This window comes from Homo sapiens, chromosome 6, assembly GCF_000001405.40.
Source record: "Homo sapiens chromosome 6, GRCh38.p14 Primary Assembly".
NCBI lineage: Eukaryota > Metazoa > Chordata > Mammalia > Primates > Hominidae > Homo > Homo sapiens.
This window is the reverse complement of record NC_000006.12, coordinates 50,752,592-50,776,812: the sequence shown is the minus strand read 5'-3', so window position 1 is coordinate 50,776,812 and position 24,221 is coordinate 50,752,592. Positions and strand designations below refer to the sequence as shown.

The window sequence follows — 24,221 nt, the reverse complement described above, 5'->3', positions numbered from 1 at the left end:
TGCTCAGAGTCAGGCAGTAGCAAGTAAGAGAGCCTTGATTTGAACCAGATAGTTTGGCTTTCTAGTCCATACTCTTAGACACTATAGGTCATGACACCTCTCACATACTGACTTGGTTTTTGTAAGGAGATGGCACACTCATTGTGTAAAGAATTCAAATATGTATGTGTGTGTGTGTATATATATATATATATATATTTTAAATTCCACTGCTCTAAAATGCTTCCAAAGAGGCATAGAAGCAAGAAAATACAGGAAAATGTTTTGTATTACCTTACTCATTATTAACAAGAATAGTTTATTGACACATTTATCTTAAAAGCACTACATGACAGAGGGCTGAACTCTTATCACTGTCACACTTGGATCAAGGTACTCATAGGTCCCAAAGGGTCATATTTTGTTCTAGACATTGAAGAGAACATACTCTCAAAAAATGGGAAAAAAAGGAACTGAAAAGCCAGGAAGGATTATCTCTATTTTTAAGGCATCTAAAAAGAAGGCAGAAGAAGAATCGATTGGGCATTTTTGCATTGCTCTGATCTTTCCAGAGAAGAAACAGAGTAATTGAATTTTCATTAATTTTTCTAGAGCCACCACTCTTAAGTCAAATGGTAACTCGACATATCCATGATAGTGGCATTAAATGGATTATTGAAACAGTCTTAAAACAAACATATCTTTGTATAAAAGTTTTACTTTCCATTAAGTTTTAAATATAAAACTGTTATGCTGTCATTATTAATTTGGGGTAAGTATGAGAGATTTGAATACGTTTTCTGGGGAAGTAATAGTTTATCTGAAAAAGCATTTCCATTATTTATCATAATATTAAAAATCAGAAAGATTTTTTTCAAGCTATCTTCTTTTACTTTTTATTTATTTAGATTTTTTTTTTTTTTTTTTTTGATGAAGTCTCTTTCTTGTCGCCCCAGGCTGGAGTGCAATGGTGCGATCTCGGCTCACTGCAACCTCTGTCTACCAGGTTCAATTGATTCTCCTGCCTCAACCTCCTGAGTAGCTGGGATTACAGGCATCTGCCACCACGCCCAGCTAATTTTTGTATTTTTAGTAGAGACGGGGTTTCACCATATTGGCCAGGATGGTCTTGAACTCCTGACCTCATGAGCCACCCACCTCGGCCTCCCAAAGTGTTGGGATTACAGGCGTGAGCCACCACACCCGGTCCAAGCCATCTTCTTTTACCATAAACTACAATAAAGGTAATAACTTCACTTTTGTTGAAATCCTAATAACTAACTAGTTTTCTTTATTGTTCCATATGAAATATATCTATCTGAAACTAATGTGTCTTCTTGGAAATGTTTTCTTATTCAAATAAAAATAATTATTTATAAATTACAATGGAGGAAGCAAACCAGATTAAAGCACTGAGTACTGAAAAAAAATCAAAATTAAAAGGTCCTTTGGCCCATTTTGGACAAAGAACACACACACATTCATTTATTCATTTATTTAAAAAGTGGTGAGTACCTATTATATACAAGGCAAAAGTTGGTATGTTAACAATGTCTATTAGAATATGATAATGATTCTAAATATGACCAGTCCATCAATTCTTTTATATCCTAGTGGCTGGTTAAGTTAAATGATGGGCGCTGTCCATTTAAGGCTCTTAAAACACCCTGAATCCTGGTAAATAAAATGCACTGTAGTTATATTTTTGTTTCCAAGGCTAGTAAGTAATAACATCCCATTGAGGTGTTTAGAATGCCAACTAGTCACAGCTAAAGGTGAAAAAGTAAGCTGGTAATATAAGCCAGATCTAATTTTTTGTCTGATTATTGTTGAACATTTGACATGGTATATAACTACATAAAGTACCTAGCAGATATGCATATCAAAATGCCATATTAAATACATATGTATTGTTAATAATAAATAGAATAAAAGCAAGTTAATGTGGAAATTTAATTGAGGAAGTAATTGTCCACATTATCTGTACATAACTTTCCTATTACTTATTAAACTGAAATATTGATCATTTTTATTTCATGTGTATATTTTACAATATGGGAAATATCATGTAAGATTAAATCATATATTTTGTGAGAAAATTTGGAACTGCGGCAGAATTTTGGCTTTATTCTATTTTATTTCAAAAAAAATTTAAGCCATGAATAATAGAAAAATTTTAAAAATGGAACTAAACACATGAAATCACAATTCATTATTTCACATTTCTTTATTTTAAGCTCTTCTGTTATGGAATTCCTTAGTAGTGTTTTCTGTTAATTAAATTTAGGCTAGAAAATCTAATTTTTCATTGGTATGGTTCTACTTTTCTGTACAAGATTGAAGATCAAGGTCAAATAATTTTTAAGAATTATTGTTAGGTAAAAACAGTTTTTGTGATCTTTACATGAAAACTCTTGAGCTATTTCCCCTCAATTAAAAATAATACTAATATTTCCCATGGGGTTATAATATGATAGAGGCTTTTAAAAAGTAATTAAATATGTTAATGAGAGGAGAATGTTTTCATCTTAAACTGTCAGGAGTCCACACATTAATAAAAGAGTTCTTTTTTTCCTTTTACATAGACAATGACCTACATTTTTATTGGCCTAGAAGTTTGAGAATTGTTAATAGTAGAAAGGTTAGTACAATGTGATACCAATCAGGTTTCTTGACACATTCAGGTTTATACGGACCAAACTTTCATTCAATTAGCCCCTTGCCTTTGCAGCCAGGAACCTCTTGTTTTCAGTGTCTTAACTAAAGGACAATGAAGTTATAAAAACAAGCTATGAAAAAAGAAAGCATCTTAAAAGCAAAAGTTTTCTCTGATCACTGTTTCTGTTCTCTTTATTGAACACAGACCTGAATGCTTTTGTGCCTCTAAAGGTTTAGAATACAGCCATCGGGCAGGTAGAAGAAGCACAAAAGCAGAAAAAGGAAGGCTCTCATCTTAACCATACAATCATTGGCCACCAGCACTTCCAGGGGCCTCTCCTAGGTCCCTGTTCTTTTCTCCCATCTCTGAGAAGCAGGACTTCCCAGAAAGATCACTGTTCCTATTCCCATGCTTTTCCAGGCAAAACAATGCCATTGCTTTCCATCAGGAGCCCAACAGAGGCAAAGCTACTCTTTCCTATATCCATCCTGCCCTGACCCACTAAATGCAGTGGGTCTGTTTTCTTGAATTGCTAGGTTGGTGATGTGAAGAGAATGGATGGAAGAGTTCATCTCTTATCCCTTGGGTAATATACTTTTCCAGTATCTTCTTAGCTATTGGGGTGGGGTAAAATGGACCTGGGATTAGGTGGGAATGTCATAGATATGAGAGAGTTTCCTGGAATTTTTAAATACCGCCAAGGCACTGGTAGTTAAGCGGGCTAGGGGTGATCAAAATTTTTAGATCTGTTGTCAACTCACAGATTCATAACTGCCCTTTTCAGTTACCCAAATATTTATTAATAGACTAATTTCCAGATTGATCTATTTAGTGGAATGAGGCACTCTTCAGTTAAAGGGAGTTAAGTCGAGAAAGACTGGAGCTGTAAGTACTGGTGGTGGATTCCAGTTTGGTTATGCTTTCTGATCCCTACCTACATAGTTGGGTAAGAAAGTGCATCAGTTAGATGTGAAAAAGCATGTGCTGCCTCTCCAAAGTCCAGAAGTGCTTAAAAACTGTGATGTATATAATTCAGACAATAAGTTACGTGCACAAAGGAGTTTATCATAACATAAAATTAAAAGGTGACAATTTCATCACACAGTTACACTGCTGTTTTCCTTTTTTTTTCTTTTTTTTTTGGTTTTGTCCTTTTTTGTTTCATTTTTCATTTCCATTTTTGTTTTTTTATGGAGGGTTGGGGAAGGGTAGAGATTTGGTCCACTGAAGATTAGTCACCCTCAATGATATATATATTAGAAAAAATATCAGCAGCAAGACTCTCTGGAAATAGATTCTGTTTGATGTAGCTAGTCTGTCTTTTCTGTTTTGCCCTCTTTCACGGCAGCCTCTGAAGTTTTCCGCAGGGGAGCTTTCTCCGAGTTGGCATGTCCTTGGCCAGAATCCGCCGCTCCGCCGTTCTTGTGAGTAGTGTGTTTTTCCAAGTAGTTCAGCATTTCACTGAGAACTGTTTGGAAAGTGCTTAGAGCTGCACATATTGCCGGAGTCCCAAAGCCATGAGTGATCAAACTGGAAATGAGAAGTGATAGGAAAAAAGAGGTGAATGATTTGCAGTATCATGTGAAATAGCAAATCTCTCCATATAATTCAGAACATTCAATTAAACAGGTATTCATTGTGTTCCTAAATGATGCTAAGCATTGTGGAAGATACAACACAGTTGAAGGTATTGCTCTTGACTATGTAAGAAATGTAGGACCAGTTTGGAAGACTTGTCGTTAATAGAGTTGATATGCACTAATTATTATTTATATATATATTTTATTATACTTTAAGTTCTAGGGTACATGTGCACAACGTGCAGGTTTGTTACATATGTATACATGTGCCAGCTTGGTGTGCTGCACCCATTAACTCATCATTTACGTTAGATGTATCTCCTAATGCTATCCCTCCCCCCTCCGCCCACCCCATGACAGGCCCCGGTGTGTGAGTTCCCCTTCCTGTGTCCAAGTGTTCTCATTGTTCAATTCCCACCTATGAGTGAGAACATGCAGTGTTTGGTTTTTTGTCCTTGCGATAGTTTGCTCAGAATGATGGTTTCCAGCTTCATCCATGTCCCTAGAAAGGACATGAACTCATCATTTTTTATGGCTGCATAGTATTCCATGGTGTATATGTGCCACATTTTCTTAATCCAGTCTATCATTGATGGACATTTGGGTTGGTTCCAAGTCTTTGCTATTGTGAATAGTGCCGCAATAAACATACGTGTGCATGTGTCGTTATAGCAGCATGATTTATAATCCTTTGGGTATATACCCAGTAATAGGATGGCTGGGTCAAGTGGTATTTCTAGTTCTAGATCCCTGAGGAATCGCCACACTGACTTCCACAATGGTTGAACTAGTTTACAGTCCCCCCAACAGTGTAAAAATATTCCTATTTCTCCACATCCTGTCCAGCACCTGTTGTTTCCTTTTTAATGATCGCCATTCTAAGTGGTGTGAGATGGTATCTCATTGTGGTTTTGATTGATACGCACTAATTATTACCAAGTCTAAATATTTAACACATGACTTGATTCTCCACCTCATTAAGAAGTAGCTGGAAAACACACCTTTAGATTCTATGTGTGGAAACATCTTGCTTTCAAGAATGGCATATATGGCATAGACTACACATGAAGAAATCATAATTGGCTGAGTGTGCCTCATGGCTAGCTGTCCCTCTGACTTCATTCTCCTTTTCCATAGTAATGCACTTTAATCTGGGCATATGGCCATCCAGCTGGAGACTACATTTCCAAGCTTCTTTTGCAGTGAGTTTTGGACATGGGACTTAACCTACCCACAATGTAACATAAAGAGAAGTGATACATGCAATTCCCACTTGCTTAAAAGGGTAGCTATGCCCTATGTAGATAATCGCTTAGGTGGCAGGGACAAAACAAGTTAGAAGGAACCTATTCATCTCCAGACTCCTAAATGAGAGAGAAATAAAACCCTGTCTTATGTAAGCCACCCAACATTTAGGTCCCGAAAACTAACTAATTAACTAATAACAAAAACTAATAAGCAAATATAAGGAATGTTATGGTAACCTCAGCATAGGTAGTTCTTCCAACCACGACAAATGTCATCTTTGGTTGAACAAACACATAACTGTAGATTTAGTCTTCTTGTGAACAGAAGCTACCCAGATTGTTCACTTATGTTAACTGTCCCGAAGTGACACTACCAGTTTGCTTCCTACGTCTCATAATAATATAGAAAAACATCCTTGTCACATAGTATGCCCATGTTATAATATATATATATATACAACATTGTGCATATGTGTATAGTACATTTAATAAAGCCATTAACTGCTAAAGTCCTAGCTTGTAACTGTTATTATGACATTAGTAGTTTTTGAATCAGATATACCACCCTTCATAATATTTTAGCTACCTATAGTTTTCTTTCTTAAGTTACATAATCTTTAACAGCAAAAATAATAATATTTTATAATAATACAAATGAAGGATTTGGGGTTTAAGGCAGCCTATTAATATGCCTCAGTGGAGGTAATAGTAAGATCTACCATGTGGGGTTGTTGTTTTTATTAGTCTACGCAAAGGGCTCAGAAGGATGCAGATCTAAACAAAGTCTTAGATAAATGATAGAGATTGTTGGCTGGGTATATTTTCTGGGTAGAGGGTAAAATTTCTGCATGTCCCTCATTATTCCATAGGTTGTTACCATCTTTCTTCCCTGAGCCTCCATCATAGTTAACATATATTAAAAAGAAAAAAAAATTCCCATCTCTGATTATGTGGGAAACAACAATGGCCAATGCTTGGGCAATTATCTGCACCAAAGTTTGTGGTGTAAGACATCATCACTGCTCAACTACTATATCCACACCTCTGCTACAAGGTCTTGCATTGCCAAACAGGAAAAATAATTTAAGCTCTATTTCTACAATGAGACAACTAGAGGGGAAGCCAAATAATTTGAAATCTATCTGGGATCTTGGACAACAAATGGAATTGTTGGAGTGGTGGAAGAATTAATCATGGTGATACCCACAAAAAGAACTGGGTAAAGCCAACCATTAATGTCCAGATATTTGACCCCAGGCACAAACTGTCTCTTTTCTCATGTTTTATTCCTGTTTAGAGCTCCTTTTTAAATTTTCTTCTATATTGGCATGTCCTCTTTGTTGTGACTCACCTCTTCATCTATAGCAGAATATACAATATTATTTAGTTTCACAGGGTATTATTGAAGTTAATATCTAATTTTTGAGTTCTGAACATATGTCAAGTCCTGTTCTAAGTTTTTTATCTGTATCACTTCATATAATTCTAGTTACAACACTAAGAACTAGATAATATTATTTCCATTTTACAGACGAAGAACTGAGTCCCAGAGAAGTTAAATAATTTGCCTGAGAAATTGGATATTCTGTACTTATGTTCCTCCCAGGCTGAGGGTACATTTTTCTCTGAGAAATCACATTTTCTGTGGGCAGTTTTAGCTCAGTTCCTCTGACTTAACTTTGTACTTGGGCAGCCTTGATGGCTGGTAAAATCAGATGCTTTTTACTCACTTTCCTGCCTAAGAGCAGGGTTTTTAAAAATCAAGCACAGGTAGGTAGTTATATATAAATGCTTTTATTATCCACTTTGAGAAAAGAGCTGTTTCCATATTTAAAGATTCCTCTTAAGCTGGTATCACTTCTTGACTGATGGGCTTTCTTGTTCCAAAATATGGATCTGATCATTAGCAGTCTGCATTGTCATCTTTGCCTTGGATTGAGAACCAAGTGTACCAAGTCCTCACACTGGCTTTGACGTCAGGCACTTCGTGATTTGGAGGAAGTTATTTAGCCTTGTAAAATGACAGTAGTCTAACAAGAACATCTGCTAGGTTCTTTCCAACTCTAAGCTTCAATTTAAGAGTATAACATCTTTATGGTGTTATTAAAATCAAGGACATGGACACAGGTTATGGAAGTTGAAAAACCACTTCAGGGCTGGGCGCAGTGGCTCATGCCTGTAATCCCAGCACTTTGGGAGGCCAAGGCAGGTAGACCACAAGGTCAGGAGTTTGAGACCAGCCTGAGCAACTGGTGAAACCCTGTCTCTACTAAAAATACAAAAAAAAAATTAGCCGGGTGTGGTGGTGCATGCCTGTAATCCCAGCTACTCAGGAGGCTGAGGCAGGAGAACCGCTTGAACCCAGGAGGCAGAGGCAAGATCGTGCTATTGCATTCCAGCCTGGGCAACAGAGGGAGACTTTGTCTCAAAAAAAAAAAAAAAAAGCCACTTCGTTCAACAAAGAACTCTAAAATCAATTGAAGGATATTCAATATAAAAAAAAGTCATTTTGACTTTCATGACCTGAAAGGTCATCTTTCAATATGAAAAACATTATGTAAATTTTGTTAATTACCTAATTTAACATTACCTGCATATTAAAAATATGCATAGCACACTGCACAGAATGATAATAAATGTAAGGCAAAGATTCTTTTCTAGCAGTTTTCAGTGAAATTTATGAACCCCAAATAATTAAAGTAATCTAATGTACTACAATAATGTAAAAAGAAGTGTGCAATCACAGTATGTTTTAAAAAGTTCTGGGAACATCATGCTATTCTTTTAGCCCCAGTCATCCAGAAAAATAGGTGTGTATCTCATTCACAGTGACATACAGAAAAGGAGGGGGCTGGGTTCAGTGGCTCATGCCTGTAATCTCAGAGCCTTGAGATGCCAATGTGGCAGGATCACTTAAGCCCAGGAACCTGAGAGTACAAAGAGCTACGATTGCACCATTGCACTCCAGGCTGGGCAACAAAGCAAGTCTCTATCTCAAAAGAAAAAAAAAAAAAGGGAGAGAAAAAAGAAAAGGAGAGAGGAATAATGTAGAATCTCCAAAAAAAAAAAAAAAAGAAAATTAGAAATAGAAGGTCTGACTTTTGATCCTAGACAGGAAAAAAAAAAAAAAAATAAGACTAAGGTCACCTGCAAGGTAACGAACTATAGTCAAATCTTCAAACTCTTTGACAATAGAGATGATTTTCAACTTTGGAAAATATTTTTCAGTTACAGGTTTGATATTTAAGTTACCCTTGGCATTTGCATATAATTTCACCAGATTACTGATGAGAGCGCATTTCACATGCAAATATCACCAGGGTTAAATGGCCCATGATGGTTTGAAATAGGCAGTCAAAATATAGAAGTTACTTAAATTCTAAATTCTAAAACTCTATCCTCAATGAGGCCCTGGAGACAACTTGCATTGTGTTAGATAAGTCATGTCTATGCTACATTTGTAAAAGAACAGTGACTATAGAGGATTCACAGGTCATATCAGTTTTCTTAATGTTTCCTAGGTTGCCTTCCTTCACCCTATGTAATCACGTGCTCTATTACCTTATTTTTGCAAAGTTTATCTCAAGCTTATCTCTTTTTAATACCCAAACATGACCGTTATTCCTATTTCTGTGTGTTTGTGTGTCCTCCCTCTCTCAGCCAATTGAAATTCCACTCAAAGAAACTCACAATTTCTTTGATGATACTGATGAAAAAGGGATTAGTTTCCTCATGCCTGAAAAACAGGTGTGTTACTTCCAAAGGATAGAAACTTGCCAAAGTGATGAGAGGACTTAAATAAAATTCCTGGGAGAAAGAAGTAACAATCCCCAAACAAATGTAAAACTATAGCACAGAGGGGACAATGGGAAGAAAACAGGTGAGGCTAAACTCTCTGTCACAAAGTGAGGAAGAGGAATGGGAATAACATTGGTAGCATCAGAGCAAAACTGACAATCCAGGTATATCAGATTTTTACTACAAGTGGTAAATCATGTTCCTCAACATAATAAAGACCATATATGACAAGCCTACAGCTAACATCATACTCAATAGTGAAAAGCTGAAAACTTTTCTTCTAAGATCAGGAACAAGAAGACGGTGCCCACTCTTACCACTTTTATTACTATTTTACATAGTACTGGCAGTCCTAGACAGAACTATTAGGCAACAGAAAGAAATAAAAAGCATCCAAATCAGAAAGGAAAAAGTTCAATTGTTTCTGTTTGCAGATGATATGATTTTAGAAAATCCTGAAGACTCTGTGAAAAACTGTTATAATAAATGAATTCAATAAAGTTGCATGATACAAAAATCAGTTGCATTTCTAAGCAGTACCAGTGAACTATGTGAAAAATTAAGAAAGAAATTAAGAAAGCAGGCCGGGCACGGTGGCTCACGCCTGTAATCCCAGCACTTTGGGAGGCCGAGGCGGGTGGATCATGAGGTCAGGAGATCGAGACCATCCTGGCTAACAAGGTGAAACCCCATCTCTACTAAAAATACAAAAAATTAGCCAGGCGCGGTGGCGGGCACCTGTAGTCCCAGCTACTCGGGAGGCTGAGGCAGGAGAATGGCGTGAACCCGGGAAGCGGAGCTTGCAGTGAGCCGAGATTGCGCCACTGCAGTCCGCAGTCCGGCCTGGGCGACAGAGCGAGACTCCGTCTCAAAAAAAAAAAAAAAAAAAAAAAAAGAAAGCAATCTCATGGTATCAAAAGGAATAAATAGTATCAAAAAGAATAAAATACTTAGGAATAAATTTAACCACAGAGGATTAAAGATCTGTATACTAACAATTATAAGACACTAATGAAAGAAATTAAAGAAGGCACGAATGAATGGAAAGCGATAACCTGTGTTCATGGATTGGAAGCATTAATTTTTTTAAATGTCCATACTAAAACCAATCTATGGATTCAGTGCAACCCCTACCAAAATTTAAACAGCATTTTCACACAAATAGGAAAAACAACACTAAAATTCATTGGGAACCATGAAAGACCCTAAATAGCCAAAGCAATCTTGAGAAACAAGAACAAAGATGAAAATATCATGCTACTGATTTCAGATTATATTACAAAGCTATAGTAATCAAAACAGTATAGTACTGGCATAAAAACAGACACATAGACCAATGGAACAGAACGAGTCTAGAAACAAACCCTCATATATGTAGTAAGCTAATCTTTGACAAGATCTTAATGAATACACAATGGGAAAAGGATGGTCTCTTCAATAAATGGTTCTAGAAAAACTGAGTATCCACATGCAAAAAAGTAAAATTGGATCCTTATCTTACACCATACACCATACACAGAAATGAACTTGAAATTGATTAAAAACTGAAACATAATAAAAGACCAAAACTATAAAGCTCCTAGAAGGAAAAATATTTTTGGCATTGGTCTTGGCTTTATTTTTTGGACATGACACCTAAAGCACAGGCAACAAAACCAAAAATAGGGAAATGGGATTAGGTCAAATGAAAAACACTTCTGCACAGTAAAGGCAACAATCACAAAATGAAAAGGCAACCCATGGAATGGGAGAAAATATTAGCAAACCATACATTTGGTACAAAAATTAGTATCTAAAATATATAAGGAGCTCATGCAACTCAATAGGAAAAAAAAAACAAATAACCTGATATTAAAAATGGGCTTAGGACACAAACATACAGTTTTCCAAAGATGACATACAAATGGATAGTAAGTATATGAACAGATGCTAAACATCACTAATCAGTGATACACAAATTAAAACTACAATGAGATATCACTTCACATTTGTTAGGATGGCTATTTTCAAAAAGCTGAGAAATAAGTGGTGGTGAGGGTGTAGATAAAAGTTAACCCTGCACACTGTTGGTGGAAAAGCAAACTGGCGCAGCCATTATGCAAAACACTATGAAAGTTCCTCAAAAACTTAAACATTAGAATGACAACATGATCCTGCAATCCCATTTCTGGTTATATATCTAAAGGAAATGAAACCAGTATCTGAAAGAGATATCTAAACTCCATGTTCATTGCAGCATTATTTCTAATAGTCAAGATGTATATAAAATTATTTAGCCATAACAAAGAAGGCAATTTTGCCATTTTGACAACATGAATGAATCTGGAAGACATTATGCTAACTGAAATAACCCAGACACAGAAAGACAAATACTGTATGGTGTCATTTATATGTGAAATCTAAAAAAGCCAAACCATAAAAACAGAGTAGAGGGTGGTTGTCAGAGGCTAAGAAGTGACAGAAATGGGGCGATGTTGGTCAAAAGGTACAAACTTTCAGTAATAAGATGAATAAGTTCTGGGGATCTACTGTATAGCATGGTGGCTATAGTTAAGAATAATGCATTATATATTTGAAAATTATATATATTCAAGATATAATTAAGAGAGTATATCTTAAGTGTTGTCACCACACACACCCAAAATGTAACTATGTGAGGTGATGGATGTATTAACTTGATTGTTGTGATCATTTCACAATATATATCAAATCATCATATCCTGCATCTTAAATATATTTTATTTGTATTTGTCAATTATACCTCAATAAAGCTGGTAAGAAAATAAACAGGTCTGAGATGGAAAACTATTATTATCAATGCATACTTCACCTGACATTATCTGCCAGCAGTTAGGTATTAGTCACCTCCAGGAGGCGTCTAGCCTGGGGAAGAAGGAGTGGGGACACCAGTTTCTGCAGTGATATTTTTTCCTTAAACAGTTTTATTTACGTTTATTTTAATTACAATACTAATTCCTTTATTTTTATTTTTATAGATTAAAGGGATATAAATGTAGTTTCATTGCATGGATATATTGCACAGCAGCGTATGTAATAATTGAATTAATGAATAGCTAAATGTTTCTTGGTTTCATTTGGGAATCTTTGATGCCCAGATTTGTAGGGTTTTGTTTCAAAGTTTTGTTCCAAGAATGAGAAAAAGGAATAGTGCAGATAGGCCTAATGTTTGCAGGGAAGAGTATTCTGTTAGCATATGAAAGATTAAATAATTCTTTGCTTTCTTTTCAGAGCTCAATCTTTAAAGCTGGCAATAGTATAATAAATAAAATTGAGACCTTTTTTTAAGTCTAGAAATCACCTATTTATGGACAAAGAAAACACAAGCACATGTTTCAGAGACAATGAAGTTGTTAGGTAATCTTTAATCTTTGAGAAATCCTGGAAGATGGGACATAAAGTAGTACAATTAAACAGAGAGACATGCCTTAATAGTTAAAGCAGGAGGAAAAAAGATTTTAGAAACTCTGGGTTATTAAATTATATTTAATTAGTCTAACACATTTCTGTAATGGGATATTTTCAAAATTTGAATTTATCAAGATTGAATTTGCATATAGTAATATTTACTCTTTTCAGGCTTACAGTTGGTTGAAATTTAACAAGCCCACACAGTGGTGTAACTACCACCATTACCCAAAAAGCTTCTCGTGTGTTTGCCAGTCAATTCACTCTCCCAAGCCCCAGCTCCTGGCAATCACTGCTCTCATTTTTGTTCCTATAATTTTCACGTTTCCCCAGAGTTTCATATAAACTGAATCATGAAGTCTATAGACTTTCATGACTGGCTTCTTTCATTTAGTATAATAATTTTCAGATTCATTTATGTTGTATTTATCAATATATTGTTTCTTTTTATTGCTGGTAAGTATTCCATTGAATGGATTTATGACAATTTGTTCACAATGGATTATTAAAAAGCTGAAGTGTTAGTATTTAAAAAGTAGAAGTAATCACTGAAATGCTGCATGGATTTAGTAAGATATGTAATAAAGTAAGTGTATTTCCTTTTATAAATGAGTTATTAGAGCAGTAGCAATATAATTGAGTGCAGGATTTCAGCAATGCATCTGACAAAGTCTCCCCACATACTGTAAGAAAAGTTGGAGGGGAGGAGGAAGGTAAGCTAGATAACAGCAAAGTAAGGGAAATTCACAGCTGGTTGTACAATGACACCCAAAGTGTGGATGTAAGGGCAGTTGTCAACCTTGAAAGATGTCTCTTGTGGAGTGCTGCAAGGCTGTCATTAATCCCACTCTGCTGGACACATTAATTAACAATGTGATTGAAGGCATCATAGATTTTTAGCTTAATGGCTGGTATTAAAATAAAGAGGAAAGTTTCTGCATTGTATAACAGAACCAAAGTTCTGAAAAACCTTAGTGTGATAGACAGCTTAATTGTTGGGCCAAAATCAATGATAGGAAATTTAGGGGAGATTAAGGAAAACATGTCCACTTGGGTAAAAAGCAAATTAGTGTCGCAATATACTAAGAAGAAGATCTGACTGAAGGGCTATTCATAGGAAAGAGCTTTACGAAATCAGTAAAGTCTAAACTAAAAAGGCAAAGGTCAAAATTTGAGGTTTGGAGCATAGCTAGGCGGACTTAGAGACTGCATCTACCTTGGACTATATTCTCATTCATTTTCTCTTTCTTTCTCTCTCTCTGTCTCTCTCTGTCTCTAACTAGATTACAGCTCATTGATTTCATTTTCCTATTACTAATTTCACACTGAGGAGCAGAAAGGCTCTGACAACTGACTGTGAACAATACCATCACCTGCTGAGAAAACTCAGACTAGTGTAGTTTATGGCACCTGATGTTAGGGAAAATGTAACTTATATTTAACAGTCATCTTCCTAATTTTATTCATGGTTTTAAAAGCTCCTATTTTGCTAGACCTCCCAATTAACATTCTCTAAAGCACCTTTCTTGCAACATAAACCATCTCCTCAAATTGGCTCAGTTCAGGAAGGAGGTAACTGTTTACTGAATTCAGAGGTGAAGCTCTACTTTTCCGTTTTCCTCTTAAGTGTCAGGTTTCTTCCCTAAGTGTTTACATTTCAATGATTTGAAGAATACCACTGGGTAGAGTAGCCATTCCTAGGGAGATTTTGCACTCGTGTGTGTAGTGTGTTTGTGTGTATGTGTATGCATATATGTGTGAAAGAGAGAGAAAGAGTGTGTGTGCACCTGTGGACTTGTAAAATGGCATCTTCTTCTTGACCAGTGGCCTTGACCTGAATGTTTTACTGATATAGTCTATAACTTTTTACATGGAAATGTATTGCAACCATTCAAACTGTATTCTCTTAACAGTGGGTGTCAAAACTATAGAAACTGAGGCTCACAAATGAAAGAGAAGAGGTAGAATAGAGGATGGAAGAAAAGAGACTGCTGTTGGAAAGAAAATACACTTTAATCCTTTCTTCTTTTTCCCTGTGTGGTTTTACTAATAAGGTGGTAGCAACAATCCATTTTTAACTTGGACAGTGTTTATACTTAGAAATTGCTTGACATTAATGATGAGGACCTATCAGAAAATTCCATATAATAGGAATTTCACAAACTTCTCTTTGCACCTTATAATCCCTGGTTAAGTGCATTTCTTGCTCATGGTCAAGGCCTTACCTACATTTATCTTTAAAATCTCCAAAGCTTCAGTTCTTACTTAGAATGTAAGCTAGTATAGGAATCTGAATGTTAGAGGAATAAGAGCTATTTTACTTTCTCTAATCTAAGTAAGTATAGTTTACATTTCACTAGCTTAATTGTATGCTAGATAAATGCTACAAAGCTGTGTCCATATTATTCTAATTGTCCTTCAAAAATGCTTTATCTTTACTTTAATTGATTTGTCTAAACTAATTTAAATTAGACCAGTAAAGCAATTTTCTAAAACATAGACTGAAGCAACCTTCTATGGAATCCTCTCCTGAATTCTTCCTATCTTGGCAAGAGTTGCGCCTGGTATCCAGCACCTTTCTACCTACTAAGCAAACACTGATTCAATATGTGTTATAAAGGAAATGAAAGTCTCTTTAGTATTTGTCACTGAAGATTAGATCACTCAGTTGTGTCTGCCAACCATAGATAAATTTTTCTAGCTTTCTTTTGGGGTACAAAAAGCTGGAGGTAATAGACACTATCATGCTACAAACTAGAAGACTGAAAATCAAGAGAAAATAGCCTGCCATCATCATTTAAGCAATTTGACTAAAAGCTAATTTCATTTTGTAAAGTTTCAACTTTTTACCTGAAAAAGCAAGCAAGCTTTTTTCTCCCTCACCTTTTTTTTTTTGGTGTGTGTGAAGGTTGAAATGGTGTTTGGGTTATTATTCCTATTATTTTGTTATGTTGCATTATTTCAATGGGTGTTTACTATCACTAATCTTTTTATTTCTAGAATTGCATACTGATGTCACTCAGTTCTGCTTTTAGCCCTCTGGGAAGGATGCAAACAGTAAGATTTAAATGGAAGACAAATCTCCTTTTCCTTTCCTCTAAGATTATTCAGTTACCACAGGCTTAGGTCCAAGTGCAGTCTATAATCTCACTACAGTGTTAGGTGGCTACTAGATAAGTGCCTTCTACTCATGAGAACAGCCAGTAGAGAGGGAGTCTGGGGAACAGACCCTCAACAACAACAGCAAAGAATTGTAGGTCTTCTCCGCCCAACCTTACTTCCTCTCACGGCTCTGAGTATTAGACACTTTATCTCTAAAGCAGCACAACTTCTAAATGTAGGCCATGGAGAGAGACCCTTACCATGGGGCATGTAACTGGGTCTTATCCTCCAGAACTCAATGGCATCTATTCTCTGTAGCCTAAATGATTCAGAAAGCAGATGAAAGGTGAAACCAGTTGATGATGCTTATTTTCTACATAGATTATCTTATCTCATGGTCCCAAGTACTTTTAAAATGGAATTTAATTAAGATACACAATTAAAGTATCTAGTTCTCTGGTGGTGAAGAATCATTGACATCAACTCATTAAGCAAAACCTTGACAACACTCTCAAATGTTCTGTGGTTTCTTCAGTTGGTGGTTCTCAACCCTAGATGCATAGAAGAAATCACTCACAAAGCTTATTTCAAAAATAGTAATGTATGTGTCCCACCCCAAAGACCCTGATTTAATTGGTTTGGGATGAATCCAAAGCATCAGTATTTTTTAAACAACCCTCATTCCATTTAAATGCAGAGAAAAAAATCAGTATGTCTCCTTACAACCAAGAAATAATGCCTAACTATTATGTCTGCATTCCTCCTTGGGAAAAAGAGGATGATAAACTTCTGCAGCATTTCCCACAAGACCTTCTGCGGAATCTTAGTTTTATGTAATGTTAATATGTACTCTGAGATTTAAAAACAGTTTTCATGATCAAGTTTTAGAAACTGTGGCTAGGTATTACCTCCTTTCAAAAAGGGTTCTGGGAGTCTTTGGTATGCCAATATGCATTGTCATACTTCAAGATAGGTATAATAATTAGGGTTTCTTTAACCAAAAAAACACTTGGCCATGAAACGCTTTCAGAGAGCATCTCATAGGACTGACTAGTGCTCTATGAAACTCAATTTGGGGAAGTATGTTTATGACTACCCTGAATCTCTGTCAGATTGGGAGATGTGTGCTCATCCACTGCCCTAAAGTCACATTCCTTCTGTTCTCCTCAGCCACTTACTTTGAGGTCCCAAAGGGGAATGAATGGGTCCTTGTGACTCCATTTTACCTCAGTTCAGCTCATTAGCAAAGCAGGCTAAAATAAAAATCATTGCACATACATTAGAAGAGACTACAATCAATTACATCCAAGTCAGCTTCTTGAAAGTGATAACATTTGATGCCTGCACCATAATTTTTACATATGAGAATGGAGATTTTTATAGGGGTACATTAACCATCTTGTTACATTTCTCCCTATCAGATGTATTTTCTGTTTGGAATAGAGGAATGAAAATGCTAAGCTTTTTAAAATGAATTTTATCGAACTGTTGATGTTTTAAGATGAGCAAGTTGAGAAAACATAAAAAGCAGATATGAGATGATATAGAAACTCAGCATAAGTAATGATTTAAAATGAATCAGTAAATTCAGAATGGAGTAAAATATTATTGGTCTAAAAAGAACCTTAGAGATCACCCAGCTTAACTGCATTGACTCATGAACATGCAGAGGTCACACGGGTGCAATGCCTATTCTAAATCCACACATCTAGCTGGTAACCAAGTGGAGACTGAGTTAGATCCCCTGACAATTAATTCCAAGTGCTTCCCACCATGCCATATTGTCTCTCTGTGGATTTCTCTCCAGTCAATAGCTCAACAAAGATAGACAATATTTAAATAAAAATTAACCAAACTCTTCCACAATGTATGTGTTCCCCAAAGCCAATTATTCACACATGTAGTTATTACAGGGTCATGTTTGCAACTTTTAATTAGAAACAATTACCTCTGGCTTCTATTGTTTTAACCACTAGTCTCTTATGTGCTAAATCTAAAAATCCATAAAAATTCATCAAAAGCCCTGCCATGGATGCTTTAATGTATGTGTCTCCTGACAAAGATTCATTGCTTGAGTAAACTTTAGGCAGGCTTCTGAACCTTCTCCTAGGCCCATCTTTGCATTTCCTTGTAAAAATCCAGTTTTAGCAAGGAAGATCTCCCCTAACTCATATCTGCTAACCCTTGCTTTTGAGATTACAGATTTAATTGAAATTTCATTGTTTCTTTTCTCACACTAAAGAATGCTTGGTGAAGAAAACTGCCCGCCGTTGATGACCTTCCCAGCCACTTTTCCATCTCAAGAAAATTTAACAAAATAAAAACAAAAAACAAAAACTATGCACACTTTAGGCTTCTTGGAGAAAACTAAACATGCTCACATTTAAGTAGAGACAAATATCTGCTCTTCAGCGTGTTGCCAAGAATAGAGCAATCAGAAAATACCAGTTGAGTTGACTGTAAGGCATGTCACATGTGGAACCCTGAAGGAAATGGGAATGAATAACCCTTGAAGAGAAAACTAGGGAAGACATGAGAACTGCCTTTAGAAAGTGGGAGGGAACCAGGATGAAAGTAACTCTGTAAAGCCCACAAGAAGTGGGACATTGGGAAATGGAAGGAAGGCATTTCTAATAGAGTTGTCAAAGATAGAGAGCAGTCTATTATTGAGAGTTTCCAAGCTTGAGATGGATGATAACTTGACAGAGACGTTGGAGAGAAGGTCTAAATATTGAAGGAGAGTAGGAAATGTTAGGGGCCTTCCAACACTGAGAATCAATGAAGAAAATTTAATCACCAGCAAGCACACAAATGTCTGGGACTGTCTATACATTCCTTATTTCCCAAGGCAGTAGTAAGAGGGTATATTTCTAAGAAGGTAGGCTGTCAGGATAATTTATGAGTTAAATAGGAGAATTAAGCACATTGATCATTTTACTTCCCTAGTCCATCGTCCAATTAAAACATCATGGCCCTGAGAATGAACCAGTGGAGAATATACACAGGACCCAATTGAGATATTATTATAATCTACATTTATTTACATATATTTATTGCATACATACTATTCGCTATGTACTATGGATAAAAAGATGAAATTTCCTTATTTCCCCAGGAAAAATTACCAGTATGCTTAATCTTCTATTGTAGCATCACTCTTGTATATTATAAGTTTATATATTTATATATATAATTATATATATTCTATATATATAATTATATATATTCTATATATATAGAATAATTATATATATTCTATATATATAGAATAATTATATATATTCTATATATAGAATAATTATATATATTCTATATATATAGAATAATTATATATATTCTATATATATAGAATAATTATATATATTCTATATATATAGAATAATTATATATATTCTATATATATAGAATAATTATATATATTCTATATATATAGAATAATTATATATATTCTATATATATAGAATAATTATATGTATTCTATATATATAGAATAATTATATGTATTCTATATATAGAATAATTATATATATTATATATATATAGAATAATTATATATATTATATATATATAGAATAAGTATATATATTCTATATATATTCTATATAGAGAGAATAATTATATATTCTATATATAGAATAATTACATGTATTCTATATATAGAATAATTACATATATTCTCTATATAGATATATATATCTATAGAGAATATAGAGAATATAGAGAATATCTATATAGAGAGATATACATATTCTGTATATATAGAATAATTATATATATAATTATTCTCCACTTTAGAAGTTCTAAAGAATGGGATAATCCTCTAGTCATCTTTTCACTACCTGCCATTAACATAGTAGAAACAATAAATAATAATTCTACTAGAAATAACGCAAACAACAAAACTTCAGCCTCCCAAGGTACATGCTGAGAAAAAAAGTTTTCTCATCTTTTGGACAGGGTGTCTTCCCTGGACTGAGCCTTCAAGATAGTCTAATTTCTTACTACACTGTCAAATGTGCTTTTGCTTGACTTCAGATTCAAGGAGATTATGAGAACATAAGAGACCAACAGGGGAAAATTTTAAGATTTCCTGAAATCTCAAAGAGGGGAATTCCTAACATTTCAAAAAAGTTAGGGCTCTGGGTTTCCATCTGAGCTGAGGCTACTCTGACCGTGAAACCCCATGCCACCTTGTTCTAATGCCACCACTATTCCCAGGAACTGTGAGTCTATGGGGTCTTCTGCAGATGTCAATCAAATCTTTTCCCCCTTCTCGTTTGTGTTGTGGTGTCTGCTGTGTTCTCTACAACAATACACACTGTTGATGGTACTCAGTAAATTATAAATAATGAATAAGTCTGCCTTCTGTCATTTTGATGGAAACAAGAAGCTTTCCAGGCTGTGAATTGTGAGAAGGGTCACTGCTATGCATACGGCTTCCCAGAACACACTGATATGTCAACTGCCATGGAAAACTAGAAGTAGTTATTTGTGCTTTGTCTGGACATATTAAATCTGCTGAAAGTAAGCCACAGTTCTCAAGGCACCAAATCAGCCAACCTATAAGGTATACTTTTAAGTGGTCTGCATTAGGAAGGAGGTTTAACTAAATAGAATAGTAACACAAGTTGATGGTGTTAATTAGAGTATTCTTTATGCCTATCTAATTACACTCCCTCTTCACTTCTTTCCCAGCCAGCATTCAGTAAAAATGGTGGAAAATCACACTCTGACAATTGTCTGCTTTCAAAGTCAGATGTGATATGTCTCCTTCGTAATTCATCTTTCTCTTGAGCTAATGGTTCTATCGAAATTACAGTTGTCACTGTCAGCGGAAAATTTTAAAAGGGACACACTCGGCCTGGTACAGTTGCTCACATGCCTGTAATCCAGCACTTTAGGAGGCCAAGGTGGGCAGACTGCTTGAGCCTACAAAGCTGAAACAAGCCTGGGCAACATGGTGAAACCCTATCTCTATAAAAAATACAAAAACATAGCCAAGCATGGTGGCACATGCCTGTAGTCTCAAGAATCACCTGAGTCCAGGAAGTCTAGGGTACGTGAGACATGATTGAGCCACTGCACTCCAACCTAGGTAACAGATTGAGAACCTCTCTCACAAAAAATAAAATAAAATAAAAATAAAAAAGACATGCTGTATGCTAACACATGTTTACCCAGATTATTAGTAGAATCATCAATGTAGAATATTTTTATTTTTAATTTTAAAACTTTTGGTAGAGATGGAGTCTCTTTATGTTGCACAGCCTGGTCTTGAAGTCTTGGCCTCAAGTGATCCTTTCACCTCGGGCTCCCAGTAGAATGTTTTTAATATATTAGTATACAATACAAAACTTGATAGAATTCTCAGTAACACTTTAAAAAGGAATTGGAGTTTTTCTTCTCCCAAAGGGGGAAAAAAAGCTTATAGTTACGGAATATCGTAGAACTGTGGTTCTTAAACCTACCTATCAGAATCAACTTGAGAGTTTTAAAAATAACATAGATACCTGAGTCCAGCCCTAGAACTACTGAATCAAATCTTTAAATATTAAATATGTCCTCCAATCCTTGAGTTTTTTTTTTTTTTTTACAGTTTCAAGAGCGATTCTGATATAAAGCCAGGTTTAAGAAATATACTTGTAAAGAGCAGAGTATATTTCAAGGCTAAGCAACAAGCTGACTTTTGCTATCCTATTGTTAACATATTCTGTTGATGCCTTTTTAAATAAATGTGCAGTAAAGAAATTACACACATTTAAATTCAGTCTACATCAGGAACCTTCACTTTGGGTTTCAATTGGAAATGCCAATCATGTATCTTTTGTTTAAAATGATAAAATTTAAGACATGCAATGGAATGAACTTGGACCCTCACCTTGCAACATAAACAAAAATTAACTCAAAATGAATCAAAGACCAAAACAAGACATACGGCTGTAAAACTGTTAGAAGAAAAAATACAGGAAAGCTTTACTGCATTGTATTTAACAAAGATTTCCTGGATTTGACACCAAAAGCACAGGCAACAAAGGTAAAAAATAAACAAATTAAACGACATCAAAATTTAAAACTATGTACCAAAGACACAATCAACAGACTAATAAAGAAATGTACAGAATGGAAAAAATTTGCAAATTATACATCTAAGAAGAGGTTACTATCTAGACTATATAAAAACCTCCAGCTTAATAAAAAAAAATAACCTGGTCAAAAAGTGGGCAAAGAACTTAAACATTTTTTCAAAGATGATGTAGAAATGGCTAAGAAGCATATGAAAAGATGTTCAACATCACTAATCATTAGAGAAGTGCAAATCAACAATGAAATATCACCTCATACCCATTAGGATGGCTACTATTTGGTGAAGATATGGAGAAATAGACACCCCGTACATTATTGTGAAAATGTAAAATGGTATAGCTGCTATGGAAAATGGTAGAATAGGCCCTCAAAAAATGACAAATAAAATTTCCATATCATCCAGCAATTTGACTTCTGGGTGTATATCCAAAAGAACTGAAACCAGGATTTTGAAGAGATATTTTCACACCCATGTTCATAGCAGCACTAGTCATGATAGTCAAGAAGTGGATGCAACCCAATTGCCATCAATGAATGAATCGATAAAATGTGGCATATATAGGCACATACACACTTACACACACACACACACATACACACACACAGAAATATTGTGCATCCTTAAAAGGAAGAAAATTTTGACACATGCTATGACATGGATGAACATGGAAGACATTACACTAAGTGAAATAAGCCAGTTACAAAAAGGCAAATACTGTATGATTCTTCTTATATGAGATGTCTAGGGTAGTTAAATTCACAGAAACACAAAACAGAATGGTAGTTGACAGAGGCTGGGGAGAGGAGAAGAATGGGAGTTGTTTAATGGGTACAGAGGCAGTTTTACAAAATAAAAAAGTTGTGGAGATTGGTTATACAACAATGAGAATATGCTTGACACTACAGAATTGATTAGAAATGGTTAAGATGGCAAATTTTATGTTATGTATTTTTAATCACAGTTTAAGAAAAAGATATAGTAGGAAATTTGCTATAAAGAAATCTTTGGTTATGCGATTTGTATCATCCTACTACTTTTGGTATGAAATCAGAAGATTTTATCTACATAAATAATTTTGACTACAATTAAAGAAAAATAACAATTCTGGCAAACATTTAAAAATCATAATAAATGGGAAATCATAACTTTCTAATATTCAAAATATTCAATATATAAATAATATCAACATTTTATAGATGATACTATTGTAAGTAAATATATAGTGTTAGAAAGTTTTAAGATATGGTTATGCATGAAATTGTGATTAAGAAACTGAAGCCATATATAATCTTGTGAGTTTTATACCTCCAATATAATCTCACTTTCTTTTTCACTAGGGGTGAGGGTGGCCATTTACCATATATTTAGCTGCACTCTGAGTAACACCAGCTTGTTCCCATATTCTGTATGGGGAGGTAAATAAGAGCATATAAAGCCCACAAAGAAAATGCTCAGCTCATGTTTTGAAGTGAGTTTTCTCTAAAGAGTTCTGTGGCACTAAGTTGGCAACTGACTAATGTATTGACAAATCAGCAAGTTGTGCCTATGCTAAGGAAACAAATGTTTTGCCTATTTATTTCACACTGTAGCTGATGTTTGACTGGTGCTCTATTTTGTTTTGAGCATAAAAAGGATGGCTTACTATCTGATGAAGGCCTCAGCATCTGTAATTGGAAATAATCTAGCATACATGACAGAGTCTCATTTCTCTGTACTTTAATAGTATGCTCCTTCTCAGAGTAAAATTGTCATTTAACACACTTCTTTAAATCCGGAATCAAACCTCAATGAAAATTAAGTTCTGAGTTGATCTTTTGTAAAAATTATAAATCCTTTTATTATGCGCACAAACAAAAATGTGAAAAATATTTGTGTAGATGTAATGCTGGAGACAAATTTAAACTTGGATCGGTGGTGAAGGTAAATGATACGTCATTTACTAAATGCTTCCTTTACATTCTTTATCTCATTTTAGCTCACCTATGACCATATAATGAAGGGGCTCTTATCCCATTTGAAGCTGAGGAAATAAAGGTTTGGAATGAGTGGGTAAGTTACCCCAAACAACCCAGCTTACATATATAAGGGCTCACAGATACAAGGATTTGAAAAGGTTTTGACTCCAAAACCTTTTGCTCATAGCATCTGGGCTTTTTATTTTCCCCCAGTTTTATTACACTTCTATCACTAGCTCAGTTGAGTGATAGGAGAGAAGTCCTGTGAAATATATCCTACATTTTGTGCATTTTTGGAAGATAAATCCTAAGTTGAGTCTTCAGAGATGTGTGTCTATTACATCTTGAGGAAACTTGTGACATATTGTAAAATAGAATATTCTATTTAAC

The 24,221-nt window shown here is 35.0% G+C and overlaps 1 protein-coding gene across 1 annotated transcript in view; it reads right to left on the bottom strand.

The window, feature by feature from the left end:
- Window positions 1–3,779: 3,779 nt before the first annotated feature.
- TFAP2D (transcription factor AP-2 delta) overlaps window positions 3,780–24,221 on the bottom strand; it is a 59,508-nt gene continuing 39,066 nt past the window's right edge. Inside the window, exon 8 of the mRNA NM_172238.4 lies at window positions 3,780–4,168. Coding sequence (NP_758438.2) covers window positions 3,949–4,168 — 220 coding nt within the window. The 3' untranslated portion in view covers window positions 3,780–3,948. The remainder of the gene's footprint in view (window positions 4,169–24,221) is intronic.